Source organism: Homo sapiens, chromosome 15 (genome assembly GCF_000001405.40).
Source record: "Homo sapiens chromosome 15, GRCh38.p14 Primary Assembly".
In the NCBI taxonomy this organism is placed as follows: domain Eukaryota; kingdom Metazoa; phylum Chordata; class Mammalia; order Primates; family Hominidae; genus Homo; species Homo sapiens.
In genome coordinates, this window is record NC_000015.10 from 62,430,010 (window position 1) to 62,457,650 (window position 27,641).

Here is a 27,641-nt window from a genome sequence, read left to right on the forward strand (position 1 = left end):
TATGATGATTCCAATTTAGTGATATTCCTAAACTAGTTTATTCTAGTTCTCCTTTGAGTCCCCTGGAATGTATATATAAGTGTACAGATTTTAAAAAGGAAAAAATTAGGTCTTTGTGGCTGTGTTTACATATTCTGAACACTTATTGGACTTCTGTTGTAAGCTAGCATTTATTGGTGTTTCAGAGGTGGAAAATTCCATTACAGTTCAATTGACTTTGGAGAACATACCAGTGTCTAGAAAGTTAAACAACTGTTTTGTGTCTTAAGTGGAAAGCAAATTTGTATGACTTTGGAAATAGTGTATCTGTCTTATTGGGCCAATCATGGTTAAATTGAAGACATGGAAACTATCAAAAACAATTACAACTGTTATTTTCTGTCCAAACTCTTCCCGGTTAGAGGAATCTTGGCCTCAATTAGAACTTTAGCTTCTGTTTTGTTCGCTAGATGTTTTTACTCTCAATTACCCTTAATCTGGATTATTTGCGAGGTAGCAATTTTTGTTAGGAGGAGGTAGCACTTGTTTGAGTTAATGATTTGCACCACATTTTTGGGGATGGTGACTTTAATACTTTAATTCTGCAGGAGTTCAGATGTATAGTGGACAGATCTCATCTCTGTTTGAGACTTAGTCAAACGAACCAATAAATATTTATTGAGCATTTACTGGTACCCTGCATTGTGCTCAAACCCCATGTCGATCATGAGTAAAGTATAAGTCATGGCCCGGTATGTCAGATTGAACAGTAAGATGGTTAGAGGGAACAATCCACAAGGTAATGTAGAAGTGTGAGTAATTCAGGATAAATTGTTTGGGACAGTTACTGAGTGATACTCACTTTAGCCATTGGAGAGATCAATTTGGTCTAGAAGTCTCAAAGGCTTCCTGGAGGAGGCGAGAAAGATGATAAACAGGAAAAGCCAAAAAAAAAAAATACACAAAAACACCCAGCTCCTTCCAGGATGATAGTAATAATTTGGATGATCAAGCACAAGGGAGGATCTGAGAGACTGATACCTTGCTCTGGATTCTTGTTAGAAATAATGACCTTGAGCTGACTTTTGAGCTCCAGGCCCACTGAGTGAGGCTTGAGGGGAAACGACTTTTAACAGGTAAACATCTCTCTGAAGGGCTCCCAGGGTTTAAGCAGAGGACTCTGCCTACCATAGTGTCCCCAGTCCTTGGTCACAAGCCTGCTGGAGCATGTGAAACTGTGTAGAGCTTTTCCCTTTGGAGAAGGGAAATATACTTACATATGTGCATATACATTAAAGTGAACATTAAAAAAAGACCTAGTTCAATAACATTTTTGAATCTGAGATGAGAGCAGCACAGCAGTAGGGATAAACAACTAATTAAGGCCGAATGTTCTCTACATATTTGTGGAATATAATTTGACTGTGCACTGATGACATGTTAAACACAAAATTAGATACTTACATAATTAGGCAATTTAAACATATGTCATATCCCGAAGTCACCGGAACAGGTAACGGTAAATGTGACCATACTGCTTGTTTGGTTTCTCAGGGTTTGTGCCTGGAAGGATCACATGTAGCCTGAGACTCTGGAATTTTGAAACCAAACATTGACAAGTGGCTTGTTTGATTTGGTAGTTTAAGTTTGGATGCTGAAAGAATCTTTATAGCTCAGCAAACATGGACTTGTGCAGCTTTCTTTAGCTTTCTCCATTTGGAAAAACATTCAGAAAGAAGAAAGGGAAAATGGCATCAGTCGTTCCTCAAATATATAAATAAAATAAAGGAAATTTCTAAAAATGGAAGACCAGAAACCCATGTATATTTAATTCTATGCCTCTGTGCAGCTTGGTGTAAATATTTTGTGGATTTCATCTCTATTGGAACAAAATATCAGGGATACAAATGTAGAGTGGGTGAGCTCCAGGCCTTGGGCCCCGGGCATGGTCCCAGGCCCATCTCTTGCTCTGGGTTAATGGGACTTCTGGAACGCTCCTTGGAAAGGACGTGTTGCTCTTTTAGCTCCTGAATGCAGACAACAAATTCACTTGTGACTCAGAATCATAGCAGGCCTCGTCCTGGTGTAATAGCAGTTGGGCTGTATTCCTTCAGTGTCTCAGTGTGTGTATGTTTAATTAAATTTTTTTACTTTTTATTAGTGTATCTTTATTAGATTTTTTATCGAATTTTTTATTAGGTCCTCTGGAAAAGAAACACTCTGGGAAAGTAATCCTCTAATTGAAGACAAAATGACCATTTTAGTCTGTTTCATGATGCAAAACTAAATACCTGAGGCTGGGCAATTTTCAAAGAACAGACATTTATTTGTCTCAGAGTTCGGGAGGCTGAGAGGTCCAAAATCAAAGTGCTGGCTTCTGGTGAGGGCCTTCTTGCTGTGTCCTCACATGGTAGAAGGGCAAAAGAGCAAATCCACTCCTGCAAGTGCTTTTATAGTGGCATTAATCCACTCATGAGGTTGGAGCTCTCTTGACCTAAACACCTCTCAACACTGTTGCATTGGGGATTGTTTCTAACATATGAATTTTGGATCGTACACAGGGTACCATATTGAGATGATGTATGTGAAGGCACTTTGAAAAGAACCGGAGGCATGCTAATGTGTGTTATGTGATTTGATTTAATTTAATTTTTAAATGTTTTGAGGTTTGGGTTCTTAGAGGTGAAGAAACTGCAGGAGGTGTTTTATGGAGCTTTTACTGTGTTCTTGGCAATATACTAGGAGTTGTTTTGCTCCTTCGAGTACATGTATTTTGGCCATGACTAATTTAAGGTCCTTTGGTTTATGCCCTAGAATGCATATTTATAGAGTTTCTACGCCTCTTGTGAAACATGCTGACTCCAGAAAATCCCTCACATAACTGGCAGGGGAGAGAGAAGTGTCTGTGCCCTATTTTCCTACGAGCCAAGGAGAAGCCCTTGCCAGGCAGGCATGGGGAGTACTCATCCAGATGTGTTTGACATAGTTTCTGAAATAGACCACAGCATATGCCACTTGGTTTCTATTTTAAGATAGGTATGTTGACAGAGGCATTGGTCCCCAAATAGAGGGGCAGAGGGTGTGAGATGTGTACTCCTAGGGAGAGGAACTGGGTGTCTTTATTTGGTGATGTGAATTTCAACCTGAAATACAAATCATGGTGTTTTCTGGGAAGAAGACTGCAGCCCTGACAGGGCTCCAGCCTGGGCGTTTCATTCAGAGGCTCTCACCTATACCTGTTGCTGGCCACAGGGACCCAGGGGACAATCTGACACAGAAGCCTGAGGGTTTTTGCCTTGTAACTTCTTGTTGTATCTGAATTAAGTCAACTCTAAGGCTGTGGTATCCCTCTGGACTAATCGATTCCTGGTCCAGGAGGCCTGATTCCAAAGTTCTGAAACTCCATAGGGCCTGCTGAGAACCAGAGGACAAATCCCTGTACCACCTGACTGTCACCGAGGCAGACCGCTGGGGCATACCACCTCTGTTTCTAGTCTTGGTGTTAGCCAATCTCAGGGGTGTGAATTCTCTATTTAGTCCTCTTGACTATGGACTGTGATTGTGTTACCTGCTTGCTTCGGGTCTGCTCACAGACTGAGTTGTGTTTTCTGCTTTTGAGTCAAGGTTGTCACTCACTGGTTTTTTTCCCCCAGATGGCCTTTGTACATAAGGGCCCCTGTTCTGGTGTAAGGGATACTAATCTTATCATACCTGCCTCAGTTATTTGAAGCTTGAATGAATCGAGTCTCCTGTCCAGATTCACTTCCCTTCTTGTGGATCACTTGAGATCAGGAGTTCAAGACCAGCCTGGCCAACGTGGTGAAACCCTGCCTCTACTAAAAATACAAAAATTAGCCAGGAGTGATGGCAGGTACCTGTAATCCCAGCTACTCAGGAGGCTGAGGCAGGAGAATCACTTGAACCCAGGAGGCAGAGGTTGCAGTGAGCCGAGATCACGCCACTGCACTCCAGCCTGGGTGACAGAGCAAGATTCTGTCCCCCCGCCCCCGCCCAAAAAAAAGATTGTCTCCCTAATTTAGGCTCATCTGTCCTCCTTTCTTTTTAATACAATTTTAATTTTCAAAAAGTTAAATTTCACATGTAAAAATTTTAAAAAGTAGAAAGAGGCATGCAGTGAAAAGTAACTTTGCTCCAATCCATCCACTAAAAACTAAGGTCCCTTCCTAAAGGCAACCACTGTTAGTGGTATTTGTATATTATCCTGGAAGTGGTCTATGTATATGTGTCTTTATGTTCTGACTCCCTTCCCCTCTGAATATATAGTATATAAGGTGTGTGTACTTAAGCATCTTACTTAAAAAAAGTTAACATTGTAAGTTATATCCTATTAGATTATATAGAATAGCCTCATTCTTTTTTAACAGCAGTTTTATATTCCATTATAGTATATTCCATTTCGTCTTTTAACTGGCTCCCTATTGACATTTGGGTCTTTTTTTTATCTTTTGCTGATGTGTGTGCACTCTTGTGCATGCGCGCGCTCTTTCCCTTGCTTGCAAGTGTGAGTACAGCTGTGGGATAAAGTCCTAAAACAGTTAAGTCAGAAAGTATGTTCATCTTTAATTTAATATTGCTAAATTGTCCTCCAAAGAAGTTGTATCATTTTTAATCATTTAACCAACAATGTATGAGAGTGCCTGTTCCCAGGAGTCCTCGCCAACACAGTGTATTGTCAGACTGCCTATATTTGCCAGTCCGCTAGGTAAAAATGGAATCTCATATCACTTATGATGTGTGATGTGAGGTTGAGCATTTTCTTTTTCCTTCAACTTTTAAGTTCAGGGGAACATGTGCAGGATATGCAGGTTTGTTACATAGGTAAATGTGTGCCATGGTGGTTTGCTGCACAGATCAACCCATCACCTAGGTATTAAGCCCAGCATCCATTAGCTATTCTTTCTGATGCTCTCCTTTCCACCCCCAGACCCCAAAGTGTGTTGTTTCCCGCTATGTGTCCATGTGTTCCCATCATTCAGCTCCCACTTATCAGTGAGAACATGCAGTGTTTGGTTTTTCTGTTTCTGCCTTAGTTTGCTGAGGATGATGACTTCCAGCTCCATCCATGTCCCTGCAAAGGACCAAGATCTTGTTCTTTTTTATGGCTGCATAGTATTCCATGGTGTATATGTTCCACATTTTCTTTATCCAGTCTATCATTGATGGGCATTTGGGTTGATTCCGTGTCTTTGCTATTGTGAATAGTGCTGCAGTGAACATACGCATGCATGTATCTTTATAGTAGAATGATTTATATTCCTTTGGGCATATACTCAATAATGGGATTGCTGGGTCAAATGGTATTTCTGCCTCCAGATCTTTGCAGAATTGCCACACTATCTTCCGCGATGGTTGAACTAATTTACACTACCACCAACAGTGTAAAACCATTCATTTTTCTCCGCAGAAGTTGACTGTCTTTATATGCTTAAGTCATTTTTATTTCTTTTTCTCTTCACTTTTTGTGTCTGCTGTCTATTTGTCTATTGTGTTGTTGTCTTTTTCTTATTGATTTGTATTTGATTTTTAAAATTATTTTTATTTATTTTTTTGAAATGGAGTTTTGCTCTTGTCACCCAGGCTGGAGTGCGATGGCGCGATCTTGGCTCACTGCAACTTCTGCCTCCCGGGTTCGAGCAACTCTCTTGCCTTAGCCTCCCAAGTAGCTGGGATTACAGGCGCCTACCACCTTGCCTGGCTAATTTTTGTATTTTTAGTAGAGATGGGGTTTTGCCATGTTGGCCTGGGTGGTCTTGAACTCCTGACCTCAGGTGATCCACCCTCCTTGGCCTCCCAAAATGCTAGGATTACAGGCGTGAGCCACCATGCCAGGCCTTGCTGTTTATGTATTATGGAAATTAGCATCTGTCACATGCTGTGAATACTTTCCCTCATTTTGTCTTTGTCACTAGCTTTTTCACTGCACAAAATTTGTTTTATGTAGTCAAATTTATTAATCTTTATGAATTTTGGATTTTGTATCATGCTCCATGATATCACTGTTGCCTGCCTTCTCCACTCTATCAGGATGTTTCTTGTGCCTACTTGTTTCAAACTTACGTCACAAACACATTTCTCCGTACTTCCCATTGCTTTCTGCATCACAGATGTCCTGCTAACCTCCTGTTTGACCTGCAGTTCTAATTCAGTTGTCTGCCTCATCATTTATTCAGTCATCCATTGATCTATTAGTTCATTGATTCCACGTTCCCTCTGAGTTCCAGGCACTGTGCTGTGTGTTAAGGATACAGTGGTGCGTATCTGTCCTATGCTCAGGAGCTCATGGAAAGCATAGCCAGGCTTCCACTTAGGTGGAATTCAAACTAACAGTCCTTGGCAACTGCAGGGAGTGCTGTGCGGGAGGACCTGGTGTTCTACCCTGGCCTGGGGTGAGGCAGAGGGCGATCAGGGAAGACTTCCTTGAGGGAATGTGTCCAACCCTATAACCTGAGTGGGAGTTTGCCAGCCTTTCGTGAGCAGGTGGCAGGATGTCAGTGGAGGAGGAGGAAGAGAGCTTTCCCTATTGAGAAAGCTGCCTAGGGAAAGCCTTGCAGTGGACAGGAGCTCAATGTGTTTGAGAAACCAGTGAAGGCCAGTGTGGCTGGAGCAGGCCTATGAGAGGAGGTCTCAAGGGACTTGGAGGAATCAGGTTGTTTGAATTGTTGAAGAGTTGTGTATGGCTTGGTTATTTGCTCCATGATTCTTTGATTTCTCTTTATTTATTTATTTTTTTTAGAGGCAGGGTCTCACTCTGTCACCCAGCCTGGAGTGCAGTAGCACAATCATAGCTCACTGCAGCCTCGAATTTCTGGATTCAAGGGCTCATCCTTCCTTGGCTTCTGAGTAGCTGGGACTACAAGCATGCATGCACCATCGTGCCTGGCTAATTTTTAATTTTGTTTTGTAGAGACAGGGACTAACTATTTTGCCCAGGATGGTCTCAGACTCCCAACCCCAAGTGATCCTCCCGCCTTGGCCTCCCAAAGTGTTGGGATTAAAGGCGTGAGCCACTGTGCCCAACCCAATTGTATGATTTCTCTTTTGTATACATCCTCTAATATTTCAGTAGAATTCCCAACACATTGGTTCAATGGACTTTTTAATCACTTTGGCTTTCTTTCATTTGCACAGTTTTGTTTCATCTCTCATTGATTATGAGCCACTTGAGGAAAAATACCATCAAGGGCTCTTAGGAGGGCGTCTCCCATGTTGGTGTACAGCCTGCTAGAGGTCTAGGAATCCTTTCTGAGGAGCACATTCATCAATAGCAGTGTATTAGGAGTTATGGGGGACACATACAAGTTTCATCTTTAGTTTTATCTCCTGGTGATTGGTGGTGGCTGCTGAGAGAGATCATGAGGCCAGGTCAGCTAGCTGGGACTATAAGTGCGAGCCACCACACCTGACCTTTTTTTTTTTGTAGTCACAGGATCTCACAATGCTGCCCAGGCTGGTCGTGAACTCCTGGCCCCAAGCAGTCCTTCTCCCTCTGCCTTGTGAAGATTATAGGTGTGAGACATGACACCTGGCTGAAAGGTGCTATTTCATCCTGCCCCTAGGTGTTTGTTGGTATAGGTACATTTGGGCAAGAGTCATAATCATAGTACTGTGTGTCATCTGGAGCCATTCTCCTTACTGACATGAGCTTCTAGTCCTAGCCCTTGCCTCAGGATACTGATGCCTCTGTTTTAGGTCAGGTTTACTTTTTTCCTCTGTAAAACGGTACTTTCAAAAAACACCATGGGGGTGTGTGTGTGTGTGTGTGTGTCTGTCTGTCTGTCTGCCAATTGGTGCAGTGGCCTCTGCATCCTGAGCTATATTTTCCCCTTGAAATGATCAGGGTTAATAGCATCTGCAAAAATGTATTGATTAACATAGTCATGAATCATTTATGCAACAACTGGCAATGCAACGGATTGATTTACAGACTTCTGGGTGTAGGAGGAGCACCACACATCTATGGACCATCCCCTTTCCCACTCTCGCCTCTGGTGGCAGCAGATGCACCCTGGTCCCCAAGAGCTCACTGGGGAAGGCAAGTGTTAGAGAGGATGTAGTGGGATGAGCTCAGGGCCAAACAGCATTTAGAGAACCATTACAAGCCAGCCTTGGTCAGGTAGTCAAACTTACTTCCAGGATGTCTGGCAAAGAGCCATCAGTTGCTGCTCTAGAAAGTCCACAACATGGCCTAATCCAGTAGTGGTTATTTAAGGGAAAACAGGGGCACTGGGGAGCAGCCAGATCACATCCTTGCTTTTTGCACATTTGGCAGAATGTTTAAAGGGAGTGGGGGCTATTACACTTCTCCCTTGTGGAAATATGCCATATCCTTGTTAAGTTGAAGACAGCCTTGTCTGTAAAGCTTAGTCTATCTGAAAGGTCCTTTCCTATCCAAATTCCAGTCAGCCTCATTCCCCTCTGTAGATGGAAGTGCACCTTTATCTGCTGAGATTTTATTCTAAACATGTCAACCTTTAAACATTAAGGAGTTGGTGATCTCCTTACCTCTGACCACTTGCAGCATTTATTTATCCCATACAGTTCGGTGCATAATCAGTCAGCCCATGTTGTTTACAGCGTAGCAAGTGTAAGAGGGAAGTAGGGAGGTAGGTGGGGCCAACATTCATGTTTAGGTTCAAGCCTGAGAATAAGGATGAGCACAAGGCTACTGAGACCATATAAAACCCCTGGAACAATGCCTTGTCCAGTAAATGGCACTCTGCAGAGTCAGTCCTCTTCACCCTGCCAAGTTCCCCTGTGTATGATATGCCTGGACCAGGACAGATGCTCAGGTGATCCCAAGGACCTAGGGAGGGAAGGGTCCCCTGGCTGAGCAGGCCTCAACAGTTGGATCCTTCTAGCAACAGCTGTGCTAGCACATGCTGGACTCGGATTAAAGTCATACTTCCTACTCTTAATTTCCTGTTTCTTTTGTACTTAGGATTTAACAATACGGTTGTGATTTAGATGTTGCTATCTGTAATAGGGCTTTTCTTTATTGTTTAAAAGCTAATTAGGGAAAAAGATAATTATATGTGGTTGTAAATATATGCATTATATGTTTATGCATATGTATACAGTATAATTAGGATCAAGGATAATAAATGCCTGACCCCTGTGCCATTACTTTTTCTCTTGCTGTCATGGCAGACATCGCTAGAAGATTATGACACTTTACTATGTACCCTAGGAAAGGCAGCCACTGCCAATCGATTGGAGTTGTCACATGTGATAAAACCTATTTGTCAGCCTAGATAAAACCTGTTAATAGATTGATCCTGGGATACAGAACATTTGACCTATCTGAGCCAGTTGTTTTTTTTTGAGATGGAGTCTTGCTCTGTTGCCCAGGCTGGAGTGCAGTGGCATGATCTCAGCTCACTGCACCCTCCGCCTCCTGGGTTCAAGTGATTATCCTGCCTCAGCCTCCCAAGTAGCTGGGACTACAGGTACCCACCACCACGCCCGGCTAATTTTTGTATTTTTAGTAGAGACAGGGTTTAGTCATGTTGGCCAGGCTGGTCTCGAGCTCCTGACCTCAGGTGATCTGCCCGCCTTGGCCTCCCAAAGTGCTTGGATTACAGGTGTGAGCCACCGTGCGCCTATCTTAGCCAGTTTTTATGGATTGGGTCAGCATGCCACCAGCCTCTGGAAGCCCCACAGTGAGAATAAATGTTTATTTCTGGTGAATGGCCAGTCAGTGACTCTCTGATTGTGAAAGCCTCTGACTAGTGTTAGACTTTTTCCCTTTGGGTATGCATTGTCCTTTGTGAACATTGAGACTTTTGGCCTTCATTCCAGTGAGCTTACAATTTCGAAAGTTGATTTGGCTTGCAGTCAGAGGCCATTAATTAGGGGCAAGAAGATGTTTGGTGTTTCTGTATTTCAGCTGTCTCTGGGTTAACCAGGGTCAGGGTTTTTCTAGGGACAGGAACTCCCTGTGCTGAAACAGGGGCGATGATACCATGCAAGGCAGGACTCCCAGGGCAGTGACTGGATTTTAGACAGGGCAGGATAACCTGGATGGTCTCTTCATTTACTTGGTTTAGGCACGTTTGTATTTACTCATTTTACAGATGTTCATGAAGAACCCGCCATGTGCTGGACACTGCTGTCTATCCCAGGTTCGTTTTATACCTTGGCTAACCTGTCTCCTCGATCTCGTGGTCTTCCTGTCTTTCAAGTCTCAGTTTGGGCCTCTCACGAACTTGATTCTTTCTGCCTCTCAGAGGGAGAATGTAACTTAATGTTAGCATTTAATTAATGCTGAGTTGAAACATTGATTTATGGTATGACTTACCTCTTTAAACTCCTTGCATTTAAGATTGAGATAGAGACCAAATTGTCCCTAATTCTTACATATCTTCCCCCTCTCCTTTCTTAAGTATATGGTACAGGTTTCATTCATTGGGAGAACAGCACTGTGAACTTGGCAAGAGCACGGTCCTGGCTGCAGATCGGTAAATACAACCAAATGGCAGAGCATTTTTTCTGTAATAGACTCCTAACCTAACGGGTGGGGTGGTGTTTGTGCCAAACGTCAGGGAGGACGGTGCTGACTGTCCTCACTGTCCTCCTCTGCTTTGGTGAATGTTTCCATGGCAACCTCTCTTGCTGTTCTCTTATACCCCTATCCCTGTCTTGCCCTTGGCTGTGGCCTCCTGGATCCCCGCAGCAGGAATTATTGACCGTCCTACTTTTACTTAGGATTGATACCTCCCTTCTAAAGTAGAGCTGTCATGGAAAGCAGCATGTGATACCAGTGTACATCTCTTATCCCTTCAAAAGTTTAGCTCCTTGAGGCAGTTTCAACCATTTTTTATATCCTCCCTGTGTGGTGCTCAGCAAATACTGAAAGCACGAATGACTGTGACAGCAAATACTGCTCTGAAGGAAGCAGTCTATAAAACAGGCTATTTCTATCCTGGAAAACGGCCTGTGGAAACAAAGCCAGGTTCTGGTTATAGTCACATTGGTATATAATACATAGCTGGTTCATCAGGTGCTTTATCCATCTCCTGCTCACTTCACATTCATGCTCTGGGACAGCGTTTCCTGATGAAGCTCATTTCCTAGTGAAAATCCATCGAACTAATGATGGGTCAGATGTGGGTAAGTGTAACGTGGTTCCAGTACAAGCAGAGATGGATTGGTCATGAAGATTAGCTTTAGGGCCCCTCACATGGAGGGATCCCTTCCAAGGCCCTGTGCTCATTTGTATTATTTACTTATCTAATATTTTTGAGACACCGTCTTGCTCTGTCACCCAGGCTGGAGTGCAGTGGCACAATCATAGCTCACTGCAGCCTCGAACTCCTGGGCTCACGTGATGTCTGTGCTTCAGCCTCCTGAGTAGCTGGGAGTACAGCCACATGCAACCATGCCTGGCTTTTTAACTTGTGTGAGCTTCATGTGAATCCACCCCTGAATACATGTAAACAGAAAACACTGAGGTAAACTAAAGATAGAAGAAACCAAGATATTATTTCCTACTCTCTTTCACAGTCACTCAACAATCCTGACTCCATTGTCTGTTGGGGCGGGAGGACGTTCCCCACACAAAGCAATTCTCCGGCAGATTCTTCAGTGGACAGCAACTGGATGTCCTCTAATTTAACTCAATTTTTACACCATCTACCTGGAGATATAGGGTCAGATCCCATAGGTTGAGGGTTTAGCCCCACAAGATTGCCCACTTCAGATGCCAGTCCCCACTGCTGGGAAAGGGAGAGGGGCCAGAGGTTAAATTGATCAGCAATGGCCAATGATGTGATCAGTCATGCCTATTTAATGAGGCCTCTATTAACAACATGAAGGACTGGGTTCAGACAAGCTTCCAGATGGATAAACACGTGGAGGTTTGTGGCGGGTGGTGTGCCCCCCTAGAGGGCATGGAAGCTTCACACCCCTTCCCTCATACCTCGCCCTAAGCATCTCTTCTATCTGGCTGTCCATCTTTATGCTTGGTAATGTTGTTAATAATAAAAGGGTAAAGGTAAGTGAAGTGTTTCCTTTAGTGCTGTGAGTTGTTCTAACAAATTAAGTGAACCTAAGGATGGGGTCATGGGAACCCTGATGTATAGCCTGTTGGTCAGAACACAGGTCACAACCTGAGGCTTGTAGGGGACAGTCTTGTGGAACTGAGCCCGCCACCCCGACACCATGTCCAGGTGGATAGTGTCAGAACTGAGTTAAATTAGAGGATGTGGCCTGGTGTGTTGCCTCATGCCTGTAATCCCAGCACTTGGGAAGGCCGAGGTGAGTGGATCACCTGAGGTCAGGGTTCCAGACTAGCCTGGCCAACATGGTGAAACCCCGTCTCTACTAAAAGTACAAAAATTAGCTGGTGTGGTGGTGCGTGCCTGTAATCCCAGCTACTCGGGAGGCTGAGGTAAGAGAATCGCTTGAACCTGGGAGGTGGAGGTTGCAGTGAGCCGAGACTACGCAGTTGCACTCCAGCTGGGGCACAGAGTGAGACTCTGTCTCAGAAAAAAAAAAAAAAAAAAAAAAATTAGAGGATGTCCAGCTGGTGTCTGCTGGAGAGTCACCTGGGAAACTGCTTGGTTGCTGTGTGAGGTTGCTGTGGGAGGAGAAATCCCCATACATTTTGGTGACCAGAAGTGTAGTATTGAGTGTACTGTGTGAGATAATAGAAAAAAAAAATTTGTTTTTTCTTTCTCTATATTTTAATACCCAACCTTCAAAATAAAATCAAAACAGAAACATTTTGCTGCTGTAACAAATTACTACACATTTAGTAGCTTAAAGCAACACACATTTATTAACTTAGGTTCTAGAGTTCAGAAGTCCTAAACTCAAGGTGTCAGCAGGGCTGTGATTTTCCTGGCGGCTCTAGGAGAGAATCCATTTCTTTGCTTTTTCCAGCTTCTTGAGGCCGCCTGCAGTTCTTGGCCTAGTGGTCCTATCTTCCGTCTTCCGAGCCAGCAGTGCCACATCTTCTAAGCTCTCTCTCACCTGTCCTTCCACTGTCCCACCTCCTGTCTTCTGACTTTGGTCCTCCTACCTCCCCTCTTTTCAGGACCTTTGTGATTACACGAGGTGCACCTGGATAATCCAGACTAATCTCCCCATCTCAAGATCCTCCTCAATCATGTTTGCAAAGTTCCTTTTGCCATGTAAGATACCATTCACAGGTTCTGAGGATTGGGGTGTGAATATTGTTGGGGGGCCATTGTTCAGACTACTGTAGTTATAATTTTAATATTAAATTTGTTATATTCTTTGGCAATCCAGCTTAATAAATGCCTTCTGTTATCTCTTCTGATAGCAGTGTTTGGTTTTTGTGCCCTTCCTGCTTCCTTAACTGGTTCTAATATAAAACTTTAATTTGTTTTATCACCATTAACAATTTCTGTTGGACACTGACATTAATTGGCAAAAGTTCTGCATCTTTGTTATAATACTAACACTTGGGCAATAGGAACGTATTTTGGGCTATGAATGAGCTTTTTATTAAAGCTGTAAAGGAAGATTTCTTTTCCTCTTCATCAATTTGTATTCCCAGCTACCTCAAAGGAGGCCCAATCAACGTCTATTAAAATTCCTGAACTTCAAACTTTAGATTAAAGGAGCATTGGAAAGAGATTAGATGAGAGTAGGGTATGGACATTCCTCCCTCATTTTCCCTGATTTCACCTGCTGATTAGAGAATCTGAGATTCAGTCTGTAGGGTGTGTATAAAATGGGAGTCTGAGCCAGATGCAGTGGTTCATGCTTATAATCCCAGCACTTTGGGAGGCAGAGGACAGAGGATTGCTTGAGCCCATGAATTTGAGATCAACCTTGGTAACGGCGAAACCCTATCTCTACAGAAAACAAAAAATTAGCCAGGCATGGTGATATGTGGCTGTAGTCCTAGCTACTTGGGACGTTGAGGTGGGAGGATCCCTTGAGCCCATGGCAGTGAGCCATGATTGTGCCACTCTGCTCCTGCCTGGGTGACAGAGCAAGACCCTGTCTCAAAACAAATAAAGGGGAGAATCTGTTTTCTAGCAGTTCATTGATGTTAGCAGTTTACCATCCAGTCAAGAACCTTTATTGAGCACCTACCGATGTGAGCCTTGGAGGGATTTTAATAGCTAATGGTGGGGTGGAGCCGTTTGAACCTATAAAGAAGTCTGAGAAGCCAGAGAGGGAGAAGGCAGGCCAGGGAAATATTGAGGAGGAGGGTGAGGCTAGTAATTCTGGATGCTGCTTAGAGGGCAGGACGAGGAGATCTGAGAAATGGGCCTTGGTCTTCAATGATGTGAGGTCACTGGTCTCCATGGAGGTGACAAATCCCATGTGGACCATATCTTCAGATGACTTCATTCTCTGGATGCAGTGGTTTGAATCTTATGTAAGAAGTAAGTTCCATGAAGCGGCATAGGCCTTTGTCTTGGAGCTTTTGTGAATTCCCAAATTTGTGAATACTCCCATAGCATATAACTTAACCTATAAAATGGAATAATGTAGACTTTGAAGATTTTGAATTGGTCCATATGTCTGCTTTCTAAAGAACCCTCATTTCTTAGTCCTTTTGCCTTTGTCTCCATTTCCGGCACCAGCACAAGGCTGTTAGTAACTGGTGCTGTCAGTGGTTCTTCACCGCACGGTCCTGACTCACTCTTGTGTCATGAACAATGGTGAGGCGTGTTGGAGTCATTTGCTTCTAATTACTGGCTAAGGCTCTAAACTTTTTGGATGACTTACTAGAAAAAGGCAGCAAGGCAACTATTGTATTACTGTTTTTCCCATGTATGTATTCCAAAGTGCTTTACTGAGTGCGGCAGGAGGGGTAGAAGCAGAGCCAGCTGCTGCTAGGGTGCATATGGTGTTGGATGCTGACAAAGGCATGTGGGGTTGTGCAGCATTGCCTGTCATCTGCAGTGTTGGTGCATGTGTATGTTTGGGGGTTGGTTGAGAGCCACTGGGCCTTACTGATGAACTAAAAGTACAAAGAACCACTATGCTTTAACAAAATTACAGTTATTATGTATCATAACCATGGAGTTACCAGGCAAATGCCCAGTGTCAGCTATCCAGGTCAAGTTCTGGGCAAGAGAGAGAATACCAGGCTTGGGGATATCAGGGGTCAGGGAGGCCTTACTGGCAGAATTGATCTTTAAGATAGAACTGGAGCTGTTGAAATGCCCAGGCTGCAGCACCTGCAGGTGTGACCCAGCTGACTCCAGGCCTTCAGAGCAGTCGTTCTTATCCCTGCCAGTGGATAGGAATCACCTGTGGCTTTACAGTGACCTCCACCTCCACCTTTGGAGGTCTTGAATCTGTATTAGCAAATAACAACTCCCTTTCTCCTGCCCCCAAGCAACTCTAATGTATATGCTATATACGTTAGAGTTTATCTCATGATACTTTTATGCTGGTGGAGGAATAAGAGGTATCACAGTGTCATCATTGGAACTCTTTAGAAACAAACAGTGACTCACATGCATAATACACTGGTGCACACACACACCCTTAAGTAGCATTTGTTTGAATATAATCAGGCCTTACATAGTGTATAAGTAAACATAAATGTAGCTGTTTGAGAAGTAAAATGCTGAAACTATTAATGTGATGTTCCAATAAAAAGTCAGTCAAGCGTCTTATTCAGCTATACAAATTACAGATGTCAGTATTAGATTTTTTTTTTTTTGAGGGTGGGTGTTGGGGGAGACAGGGTCTTGCTCTGTCACCGAGGATGGAGTGCAATGGCCTGATCACAGTTCACTGCACCCTCGACTTCCTGGGCTCAAAGAATCCTTTCACCTCAGCCTCCCAAGTATCTGGAACTACAGGCACATGCCACCACTCACAGCTAATTTTTAAATTTCTAGTAGAGATGAGGGCTCACTGTGTTGCCTAGGCTGATCTTGAACTCCTGGGCTCAAGGGATCCTCCCAAAGTGCTGGGATTACAGGCATGAGCCATCGCCTACTGGCCCTTTCTTGATATTCTTGATACTGAGCTCTGTAGTCTTTTTTTTTTGTATAAATTTATTTTTATTTTTATTTTTTTGAGACAGAGTCTCACTGTCGCCCGGGCTGGAGTGCAGTGGCTCGATCTCCACTCACTGCAAGCTCCGCCTCCCGGGTTCACGTCATTCTCCTGGCTCAGCCTCTAGAGTAGCTGAGACTACAGGCGCCCGCCACCACGCCCCGCTAATTTTTTGGTAGAGACAGGGTTTCACCGTGTTAGCCAGGATGGTCTGGATCTCCTGACCTCGTCATCCGCCCGTCTCCCCAAAGTGCTGGGATCACAGGTGCGAGCCACCGCGCCCGGCTTAAGCTCTGTAGTCTTAAACTCCTAATAAGCATCTGGAATCTTCTGAGCGCTTAACTCCCATTTTAGCAGAGCTTGGGTCTTCTTTTTGTATTTTAATTCCTTGTAATTGGTATGCCTCTGTCCTACTGCCTGTGGTATTCAGATCACTAGACTACCTTAGATTCCTTTACCTGCTGGAAAACCAGCTGGAGTCTAGAAGAGTGCTTACTTAAATCACAGAAGGAACATTAGCTAGTGAGTCAGACGACTTGGGTTCTAGTCATGGTTCTACTGTTGACTTTTTTGTGACTTTGGATGATCCGTTTTACATCTCTGGACTTCAGTTTTCTTATATAAAAAAATGAATGGAACTTTACCTGATCGCTGTGATTTTAAACATTTTTTTGTATTCTAAGACACATCTGTGATTTTTACCGTTGGGTCTAATACTTTCAAATCAAACAATGTATTCAGTATCTCTACAAGGGCTGGACTGGGGGCTGTAGGGTATTCAAAGACATGTAAGTTGTGCTTCTAGCTCAAATGAATATTCTACTTAAGATAATATGTAAATACACACAGAGCTAAAGAACACAAGATTAAATAACCATTCAAACCGGACAAGGCATAATTAGTTGTTAGATGAATGGAATAGATCAGCATTTCCCAAACTCTAACGTGGATCATCAGTTCTGCAAGAAGTTAATAGGGCTTCCTGAACAAATGGGTTTTTAGGTCAGTGGAGTTTAGAAAATGTTGGGTCAAACAAAATCAAACAGTTTATTTGTTAAAGGCTTCTTGGGGCCTTTAATAAATTAATCTCCATAATGAACGCATAGCTGCATAATCTTTGGTTTCCCAGACTTTGTTCAAGAAGCCTATATTTATTTATTTATTTGTTTATTTATTTATTTAATTAGGAACTATTCACTACTTGAATGAATGCAACTTGGGAAGCTGGTATTAGTGCTAAGTGTGTTAGGAGTTTAAGGTGAGAGAGGTAGTTTCGACCTGGATGGCCAAGGAAAGTTTTACGAGGTAGTGGGTCCAGAACGTCGGGGTGGGTTGCACAGTGGGAGAGGCTGGGAGGAGCACTTGGAAACAGCATGTGGCTGAGCTGTGAGACAAGTGAATGGAATGGAGTGGTGGATGCTTCACACTTCAAAATCTCTGAGGCTCAGTCTTTCTCCTGGAAGTGCTCCTTGGACAGAGTTAACTTTACTTTTTTTTTTTTTTTTTTGAGATGGAGTCTCGCTCTGTCGCCCAGGCTGGAGTGCAATGGCGCGATCTTGCTCACTGCAAGCTCCGCCTCCTGGGTTCACGCCATTCTCCTGCCTCAGCCTCCTGAGTAGCTGGGACTGTGGGCACCCGCCACCACGCCCGGCTAATTTTTTGTATTTTTAGTAGAGACAGGGTTTCACTGAGTTAGCCAGGATGGTCTCGATCTCCTGACCCCGTGATCTGCCCGCCTTGGCCTCCCAAAGTGCTAGGATTAGCCCGGCCCAGAGTTAACTTTTCTCCAGAGTTCCATATCCCCAGAGGCTATGAAGGGTGCTCGGCCCCGCCCCACTCACTCTTGTGCATTTCTGGTTTTGTTCCTGCTATGTCCCATTACAAGCCAATTCGTAGGCTTGCTCAGTCTGACAGGCTACAAATGAGGTGCTCGTGACACCAGAATAGAACTTGGCTATTCCTCACTGTGAGTGGGCCAGGACTGAGCTTCCAAAGGCTGGCCAAGGGCTGGCTGCCACTGATGCAGAATCCTCCCAGGAGGAGCCCAGGAATCTGTATTTCCAACAGGCCCCAACGCCTTGGATTTAGGAGACGAACTTGGAGCAGAAGCAGCATGGCTCTGACTGGGCCCAGGGAGCCTGCATAGTGCCTCCTTACATTAGATTTCACTGGATCCTCTCAGTTGTCCTGGGGAAGGCTTGGGTGATCTATGTGCTATCCGCTGCAGTCCACAGCACTGAGGAGTGACAGGATTCCCAGTCAGGGCCTAATTCCGTATAGCTGCTCTTGAACAAGTACATCCCAATGCTTTACAGAGTTAGGTAGCAGTTATTGAGTCACTCATTTGCAAATGTAGTTATAGAAATGCATGATCATATTAGAAGGATCCAGGGAGGAAAGAGTTAGGCTTGTACTGGGCAGGCTGAATGAGCTTCACTTCTGGATTCGGTTTATTCTGTTGTGTGTTTGCTCCTCCTCCAGTACCCTCTCTGTCATGTGCTGCTTTTCTAAAACCTGTGTGGAATTATTTATTACAGAGAGATACCGGGTTTATTATTTGTAAGGGCGAGAACACTTGACATGCAGGGGGAGGGAAAGACATTGACGTTGTAATCCTGTGGTGTAGCTTATTTTTAATCACAGAGAGAAATGCTGAGGTTTGTTTTAACTGAGATACAAAATGTTAGAAATAAGCTTTGGTTGTTAGGAATAGTAATTCACAGAGCGGTCTCTAGATTCACTATGTTAGCCCAAATCTGAGGCAAGCAAGTTCTTTTAAAGCCCAACATCAGAACTCATGTACTGACCTAGTTTAAAATGTTAAAAGTGCAGCTCATCCCATCAGGAGGAAACTACTATAGAGCGTGCTCTTCGAGTTTCTTCTTTATTTGTCTAGGGGGCTTCTTTTTTCCTCAGAGAGAGGGCATTAGTTGCATAATTTTGCAGGGCAACTGGCTTCTTATTCCTTTTGCACTCCTTAGTGGTGTCTCAGCTTTGCAGTTTTAGGGGGAAATGAGCTTTGATGTGTAGTAAAAATGATAACTGATTTTAATATAAAATAGTGAATGCTGGGTATTAAACTCTTGGGCAGCAGGAGACATAACGTGTCAGAGAGCATTAGTTTTCAAAACCTGAAATGAAGTGGCTTAACTCGTCAACAGAAGCCCTGGCGATGCAGCAAGTCTTAAGAGGAGGGGACCCAAATGGATTGGTGAGTGGTATGGGGAGGGGTGTCTGGGGCTATAATTCCTCCATGCGTAGGTCTTGAAAAGTCTTCTGCATGACCCAGATCTTTTGTTTCTAGGGGAGGGTCTTTGTCAGAGTTTGGTCCTGATGCTGAAGAGCTTTCTTCCTGTTCCTCTCTCCTCTGCTAAGATCCTTGGGGCTGCAGTAGTTGCTTCATAGCCCAGTAGATGAGCTAGCTGGCAGAGGGCAGGAAAGTTTACACATTCCTGTGCAGCACCTTTTGCATCAGGACTGCTCTAGTGTTGAGAATCACTGTCCTCCGAGTGCCAAATTCTCCTTTAAAAACAGGCTGGGTATGGTGGCTCACCTTGTAATCCCAGCACTTTGGGAGGCCGAGACAGGAGGGTTGCTTGAGCCCAGGAGTTAAAAAAATAAAAATAAAAATTGCTGGACATGGCCTGTAGTCCCAGCGACTTGGGAGGCTGAAGTGGGAGGACTGCTTGAGCCCAAGGAGATTGAGGCTGCAGTGAGCTATGATCAAGCCACTCCATCCCAGTTTGGGTGACAGAGCCAAACCCTGTCTGAGAAAACAACAACAAAACCTTGGCCAAAGCTATGCAGAGAAAGGACAAGAGAAAGTTGGCAGGTAGCCATATTTCCAGGCTTAGCATTCACAATGAAAAGTGCATGGTTCCATGATTTTCTGTCTTTATTTTCTGAAATCATGACTACTCCCTTGCTTCCTTCTTGCTGTTTCTTGTCTGTCCTGGTTGTAAAAGAATTTGGGCTCCTGGTGGAATTCTGCCACTGTCACTCTCTTCCTCACAAACCTTCAGTAGCTCTCAGTTGCCCCCGTACCTGGACCCCAACTTACTTTCCTAATGTTTTCTGCCGTCTCCTGCAGAATCTCTCCTCTGGCTTCCAGGCTCTCTCAGCTTCCAGGCCGGCCTCTCAGTGTGTGTCTCAGTAGAGTCTTCACCTTGTGGCTTTTACTCATACTCCTTGCCTGAAACGTTCTTCTCCCACCAACCACTAGATCCTACCCTTGGATGGAGCATGAGCGGGGAATTGCTGTTGCTTGTGCACTGGAGTGTGATACCTGAAGCCGAGCCAGGAGGCAAATCCAGAAGCTGATGGTGTATCCGAGTCACCGTGTTTGTAGAAAGCTTATCCTTTAGTTAACTCGGGCACGAGTTTAACTTGTATGTAAATACATATTCAACATAGATAGTCGCCTGTAGGAGATACAGTTGGGGATTCAGCTTTTTTTTAACCTACCATCTGTGAGTATAGCCCTACATCATTAAGTGGCCCCCATCGTGTATGTATGTATGTATGTATGTATGTATGTATGTATGTGTGTGTGTGTGTGTGTGTGTGTGTCTGTGTGTGTGTGTGTTTGAGACAGGGTCTGACTTTGACATCTGGGCTGGAGTGCGGTGGCATGAACGCTGATCACTGCAACTTTCACCTCTTGGGCTCAAGATATCCTCCTGCCTTAGCCTCCTGAGTAGCTGAGTACTAGCTCCTGTGTGCTACTATGCCTAGCTAGCTAATTTTTTAGAGATGAGATCTTGCAATATTGCCCAGGCTGGTCTCGAACTCCTGGGCTCAAGCTGTCCTTCTACCTCAGCCTCCTAAAGTGTTGGGATTATAGGCATGAGCTACCATGCCTGGTCCATATATCTATATATATATTTAGCTCAAATGTTGTTTCTCCGTTTTTGTTCTTTTAATGTATGGTCTGAGGATCCCTGCCTTTACAGTTGCCTGGAGTTCTCTCTCTTTTTTTTTTTTTGGTAGAGATGAGGTCTTGCTATGTTGCCCAGGCTGGTCTTGAACTCCTGGCCTCAAGTGATTGTCCTACCTTGGCCTCTGAGAGTGCTTTAGTGGATTATAGGTGTGAGCCACTGTGCCTGACCTGCCTGGTTCTTGCTAAATTTGAAGATTCCTGGGCACTACTGCAGACCCAGAGCAGAGTCCAGGAGGGACCAGGGCACACTGATGTGATTCTAAGGGCCGTGTGCACCACAGCCCCACTGCTAGCCCCATGTGTCTGCAGACTGCCCCATGTGTCTAGGGCGTGGTGTGAGGGGCTAGTTGTGGCAGTCTCGCCAGGTCAGGGTTGGGTGGGCAAGTAAGGGCTGCTGAGGAGAATCTGGATTCTTAAGAGGGGTTGGCTGGGCTGGGCACAGTGGCTCACACTTGTAATCCCAGCACTTTGGGAGGCCGAGGCGGGTGAATCACAAGGTCAGGAGATCTAGACCATCCTGGCTAACATGGGTGAAACCCCGTCTCTACTAAAAATACAAAAAATTAGCTAGGCATGGTGGTGCGTGCCTGTAGTCCCAGTTACTCAGGAGGCGGAGGCAGGAGGAACGCTTAAACCCAGAGGCGGAGGTTGCAGTGAGCCGAGATTGTGCCATTGCGATCCAGCCTGGGCGACAGAGTGAGACTCCGTCTCAAAAAAAGAAAAGAGGAATTGGCTCCACAACCCTGATTACCTGGCCAGGGATAGACCAGAACTGTGGTGAGGGAGCCTTTGCTGCTGTCCTCAAGTAGCTTTTGGGCCTTGCAGAGGTCCATGGGCTTCACGAATGCTTTCTGCCTTTGACTCTGTTTTCTCTTTTGATGGTACATATCAAGCCGCTAGAGTGCCCCAAGTCTTGTTTTGTGTCAAACACCCTCCAAGGCAGACGACCTGCAGTTTTAGATCGTATATTTATGTGACCTGATGCCTGCTTTGGGGTCTCCAGAGTCAAAAGGGGTGTGTGTGTGTGTACGTGTTGATATTCTTGGGCAAAGGGTGATTGTAACTGCAGAGACCATGCATCCTCCAGCCCCGAGGCTTTCCTGTCGCCTGTGGAGACAAGCTTCATTGCCTGTGGGGTTCTGGTCCTGGATCATTTCTTAGAGCTGAGCATGGGGTGATGCCAAGGCCCTTGGGACGCACCAAGGGTGAAAGAACAGTGGGGTTGTGAGGGTGCTTCTGCAGGGAGCCCTGAGGCCTAGACAGACAGGAGCCAGGAGGGCTTGCGAAAAGTCCGTCCTAGCTGCAAACCTGCTCCTCCCTCCGCCCTGGCTTTCCTTGCATTTCATTTGTATCCTGCTGATTTGATTTCCTTTTGCATTGTGTAAGGTTCTTAGTAGATACCTATTCCGTGAAGTTAGAGATGAATTAGACACAAGAGAGAGAAAGACCTGGCTAAACTGGAAATGAGAAGGACGTCGACAGTTTAAAAACACATTATGGTAAAAATAAACATAACACGAAATTTACTACTTTAACCATTTGTAAGTGTATAGTTGAGTGGCATGAAGTACATTCACATTGCTGGGCAGCATCACCACCATCCATCTCCAGAACTCTTTCATCTTGTAAAACTGAAACTGCCCATTACTGCTTATCCTCCTTCCCTCCAGCCCTTGGCAACCACCAGTCTACTTTGTCTTTGTGATTTTTGACTACTCTAGGTACCTCAATCAGTGGAATCATACCGCATTTGTTTTCTAAGTTCACATTTTTCTGTGTCGATACTTTAAGTCCAATAAGTTAAGAGGAGAAGGGACTTAACTTGCCTCTCCTTTGGAGACAGTCCTCCTGCTCCCTTCTGCCTGTCCTTGTTGCCCAGAGTGGCGGGGCCAGTGTACTGCTTTACCTAATCCTCTGTGTAGAATGGACTGGCAGCTGGGGGCTCTCGAAGTTTGCTTCCAGCTGTTCTTGGGATTTAGTGTTTTCCCTGGAATGAAGATGAAGCAGGGTTGCCAGATAAAATGCAGGCTGCCCAGGTGAATTAAATCTCAGATAAACAGTCTATCATTTATAGTATAAGTATCTTCCAAAGACTGCATGGGAAATACTTATACTGCAGAATTATCTGTGGTTTACCTGAAATTCAAGTTTAACTAGATTTGCTGCATTTTTGCTGCTAAATTTGGGTGATCCAGTGGTGAACACACAATAAAGCAGCTCATTGGTAAAAGGGCATGCGGTTGGCTAGAAAGATTTTGGGAGATGGGCAGATTTGATGGTGCAGAGAGAGAGGCCATTTGGCATTGTCAACCTATTTTTTTTTTTTTTTTGGTAGAATATTAACTTGGATCCTAAAAGTAGGATTGGAAAGTAGCTGCATAGACTCCTGTCATTTGTTCTTCAGAGAAACAAGCAGCTAGTACTGGCTAATGAGAATATGATCTGCACATGGCAGGTGCCAAAAGTGTGCTCTAATACAAGGCCCTTTCTTCCTTTGCAGGTGCTGGGCTACCTGACTGCTAGCAGGGACTGAGGGAGGGCATTTCTTGAAGAGTTACCCAGATCCAGCTGCTTATCTGCCCCTGGCCATGGTTTATGTTGTTGACTGATTGCACCAGCTGCTGAGAGGTGGTTTTATGTAGTGTGAGTAATTGAAACTTGGTTCTAAGTTTCCCTCTTGTCCCTTCCTGTTTAATGCAGTCAGCTGTCCTCGAATTTATTTTTTGGTGGTACTTTGAATCAGCCCCCTGTGTGAGAATTCAACAAAAACGCAACTGATACAAAGCATCTGCACTGAGTAAGTCCGGGCAGCATTGAATCCCTCTCTCTGTGTTTTCTGTGTGGCTGTTTTTCACTTACCTTCTCCCCTTTGGGTCTAGGTTCCTGTGGCTGGTTTGCTTTCTCCTCAGTGTTTTGGAGGACATAAAATGATAGTTCTCAGGGTTTGCAAACAGTGTGAGCCCTTCCTGCAGCTGCCGGTGGGTAGGTGGATAAAATCAGTTTTGCTGCTATTGTCCACGGGCCAGGCCCACCCCCAGGTGCCAGTGGCTGACCCCTGGCCACCTGTGCGGGAGTGTGAGTGGCTGCCTGCTGCAAGGGCCCCTGTGGCTCAGAGGAGACGGGCACACGCTATGCTCCCTTCAGAGCAGTGGTAGACATGCTTTATTTTGGGGTTTTGAAGCCCTAGCATTTAGTGGCTCATTTTGGCCTTTTTCTTCCCCTAAGGGATTCTGTGATGTTTAATGACTCAACTCTGATTGTACTCCGGATGTTTCTTTTCCACTGATGTCAGTTTATAGAGCAGTCCTCCAGCAAATGTTTGTGTGGGCAGGAGGCAGAAAGGGAAGGAAGAGGTGAGGGGGCACTTCGGGACCCCAAGAATAGGCTTCAACTGCTGCCCCACACACCAGGGAGGCCAGGCCCTGACATTTTAATGCCCAGTGCTTTTGCTTCCAGACCCATTGGAGGGGTCTGGTTGGGGCTTGGATGAATGGGACCTGAGAGCCGTCTCCTGCAGGGCTGCTGGTTCTCTGTGAGAACTTTGGGATGCCAGGTGGGGCACCGTCATGGGGTATGGGATTATTTGTAGGTCTGGTCATTAGGGGTGGGATGTCTGGCAGATGCCTTAGAGCAAGTGTATCAAGAAGTGGGGTACAGCACAGGACCCTGTGCCCCATCCTTCCGTGAGTCCCCTTCTGGCTTGTCTCCATAGGACTTCAGCTTAACACAGGGAGTGAGGGAGAGGGCAAGAGCATGGGCAAGAGGGAGGGTTTAGTTTTGAGCAGATAGATCCAGCTCCTAGTTTGCCTTAGACCCTGGAACACTGGCTTCTTTCATTCGGCCCTTTAGAGGAGTGGCCCAGAGTAGCCTAGCAGGGACTGAACTCTTTCGGATGGCTTCCAGAGCATTGTTCCCAAGACCCTCCCTTCTGCTGACCCTGTGACATCGGGGCAGGTGGGGAGAGAAGAGGTAGACACTATCATTCCCCCAGTCCCAGGTCCCTCCACACAGCTTATTCCTCACTTTTCCTCCCCCCGGGGGGCTGACAGAATCAAACTTGTGAAATACTGAACACTGGGGTTTTGTGGTGGGCAGTTATGTCTGTTACTAAGCACAAGGAATTTGAGCAAAGGAGGGAGAAAAATAAATAACTATTTTTAAAGGGAACCATTGTATTCAATGGACTCCTCCTTTTTGAGGGTCTGTCGTGGGCAAAAGATTGTGGTGCCTCCTGAGAGTGATACAGAGGCAGTGAGTCCCCGACTCTTCCTGCAGGAGTGTGTAGGTCAGCAATATTGCAGTTTCCAGGTGAGGAGAGAGGTGCTCGATGGAGGGGACGTGATGGGGAACTCAGGAAGGGGTTCCTGGAGGTGCACTTCAGCCGCGCCTTCAGCAATCTGCAGAATGTCAAAAAGCCAGTGGGAGAGGGTGTTCGGGATGGGAGAGACTGAATAAACCAAGACAAAAAGATGGTACAGCGCAGTAGGAGTCAGATAGCACAGGGGTTGGTTAAAGACTGGGGCACCGCAATGTATGGGGAGCAATGTTTTTGTTTGTTTTTTTAACCACTGGCCTAGTGTCGGTTGTGAGCTGTCTGTTGACTTTTAGAAAGAGTAACCTACACCTCGTTCCTACTCATCGACTTCTGCGGTTACCACTATGCCAGAGTGCCATTCTGGAAGGCCTCCAGCAACCCTTTGGTGGCCAAATCTCACAGTTTGTTCCCAGGTGCCCTGCTCGGGGCTGCCTGTCACGGGTCACTGCTTATCATCCTCTAACACCCTCTCTCCCTTTTGCCTCTGGGACTCCATATGCCTTGATGGGCCCTTTTCCAGTCCCCTTCTGCTATCTCTCTTGACTCTGACACACATCTCCATTCCCCAGCGTCCTGTCCTCCGAGCCAGTACCCCTTCTCTACCGCCGCCACCTGTTCCCTGTGCCTGAGCTTTACATCTTGGCCAGGTGCAGGGCGTCTGGCTGACACTTTGCTTTTGCAGACCAGTGCAGCCAGCCCTGCTCCTGGGGGTTACGAGTCTGCAGTTGCGAACCCCAGAAACCCAAAGAACTGAAATTCAGTCCACAGACATCTATTAACCTGCTGGGTGACAGAGTAAGACTCTTAAAAAAAAAAAAAAAAGAACCTTACTGGATCAAGCCCCCAAGGGGACAAGTGACAAGTAACAGCCCTGATCGTCCGGGGAGTACCTGCTGCTTCTCCAGCCTTCCTTTTCCAAGGGCCTCTTCACTGGAAAGCTCTGAGTCAGATCTAAATATCCAAGAAGGCCAGACTTCTTTTTGTCCTTTTCTGTAATCTGAAGCTTCTCATCTCTCTCAGCCTCCTACTTCCTAGCAATTTGACAAAAGGTGAAAAGCGTTTCATCGGCTCTTCAGAGCTGCAGCAGTAGCAGCTGCAGCCTCAGCCGCACGGAAGGTGGAGGTGCTCTTGAGTGAGTCCTCCCCACCGTTTAAAATGCAGGGCTGGACCTGAGGGATTTATGTGTTCCCTGGGTGTGCGTCTTGTGCAGGCGACTTTGAATTTGACACCTCTGTCACATAGCCAGTGCCTGAAAACCCTGAAATGATTCTTGGTATTCAGAATTCACATTGGGTAGACTTAGGTAGTATTTATAGCATTCCCAAGACAAGTTATTGCCAAAGGAGGTAGTGACACTTATCAGGGCCTGTGTAGGAGACACAGAGCTGAGTAGACTCTTTCTCTGGCTAATTTTAGATTCCCAGTGTTGAGGTTGGGAATGAGGGCTTGTCACATAGTTAGTATGTTTTCAGAGGCTCTGATCTCCCTGAGACTACAAGTACAAAGGCTGTGTGGCCATTTCTGTTTCCTGGGGTTTACTCTTCCATCCGTTGTCTCACTGCACAGGTTCTCCCTGGCTCTGTCTCATTCTGCTTGCCCCATGGCAGAAAAGGGGGGCGGTTCAGGGCTCCTTGACATTCTGGCATTAGGCCACCAAGCTGTGGGATGGGGGAATTCAGGGTGGGGGAGAATTTGACAGTAGGGCATCGTGCCTCACAAGCTACTTTTTACAACCTGTGAATGCTTGACACACTGTTTAGTTTGCCTGTGGCCCTGTCTACCCTTGGTCAAGGGGAATCTCCCTGGGGAAGGTATTAGCTCAGGTTGCTATTGGAAAATGCTGTGGACTGGATGGCTTAAACAATAGAAATTTTTTCACGGTTCTGGAGGCTGGAAGTCTGAGATCAGGGTGCTAGCATGATTGGGTTCTGGTGTGGGCCTTCTTCCTGGTTTACAGGCAGCTGCCTTCTGGCTGCATCTTCACATGACAGAGCGAGAGAGGGAGAGCGTGCGAGCGTGCATGCACAGGCAGGCTCTCTGGCATCTCCTCTTAACAGGGCACTAACCTCATCATGAAGGCTCCACTGTCGTGACCTCATCTAAACCTAATTATCTCCCTAAGGCACCAGCACCATCCCCCTTGGGTTTAGGGCTTCAGCATAAGAGTTTGGAGGGACATGATTGAGTTCATAGCAGGGGTTCTTGGAGGTTTTTGAGCTGCAGATTCTTTAAAGCAGAGGCTGGTGACTGCAGAGGAATTGGGCCCCGTCTTCCTTGGGGGTCAGACCTCCAGTGGCAGAAGTGCCTTTTCCAGTGACCCAGGGAGAGTTCTTACTGGGAGAGAGGGACAGCGTTCTGGTGGCGAGGCAGGGAGCTGGCTGGTTTGTGTCG

At 45.4% G+C, this 27,641-nt stretch overlaps 1 protein-coding gene across 2 annotated transcripts in view, besides 4 other annotated features; it reads left to right on the forward strand.

Moving 5' to 3' along the window:
* TLN2 (talin 2) overlaps positions 1–27,641 on the forward strand; it is a 454,082-nt gene that overhangs the window by 39,460 nt on the left and 386,981 nt on the right. The gene's annotated exons all lie outside the window — the stretch shown is intronic.
* Positions 9,561–9,855: a silencer, noted in NCBI's record as "tiled region #2524; K562 Repressive non-DNase unmatched - State 22:ReprW". NCBI's record gives its function as "represses a minimal TATA promoter and a strong SV40 promoter by Sharpr-MPRA in K562 cells {active_cell/tissue: K562}" and the evidence as "EXISTENCE:reporter gene assay evidence [ECO:0000049][PMID:27701403]".
* Positions 21,365–21,974: an enhancer, noted in NCBI's record as "H3K27ac-H3K4me1 hESC enhancer chr15:62743573-62744182 (GRCh37/hg19 assembly coordinates)". NCBI's record gives its function as "activates a minimal SCP1, AML or CMV promoter by ChIP-STARR-seq in naive H9 embryonic stem cells {active_cell/tissue: H9 hESC(naive)}" and the evidence as "EXISTENCE:reporter gene assay evidence [ECO:0000049][PMID:30033119]".
* Positions 21,975–22,584: an enhancer, noted in NCBI's record as "NANOG-H3K27ac-H3K4me1 hESC enhancer chr15:62744183-62744792 (GRCh37/hg19 assembly coordinates)". NCBI's record gives its function as "activates a minimal SCP1, AML or CMV promoter by ChIP-STARR-seq in naive H9 embryonic stem cells {active_cell/tissue: H9 hESC(naive)}" and the evidence as "EXISTENCE:reporter gene assay evidence [ECO:0000049][PMID:30033119]".
* Positions 24,059–24,607: an enhancer, noted in NCBI's record as "H3K4me1 hESC enhancer chr15:62746267-62746815 (GRCh37/hg19 assembly coordinates)". NCBI's record gives its function as "activates a minimal SCP1, AML or CMV promoter by ChIP-STARR-seq in primed H9 embryonic stem cells {active_cell/tissue: H9 hESC(primed)}" and the evidence as "EXISTENCE:reporter gene assay evidence [ECO:0000049][PMID:30033119]".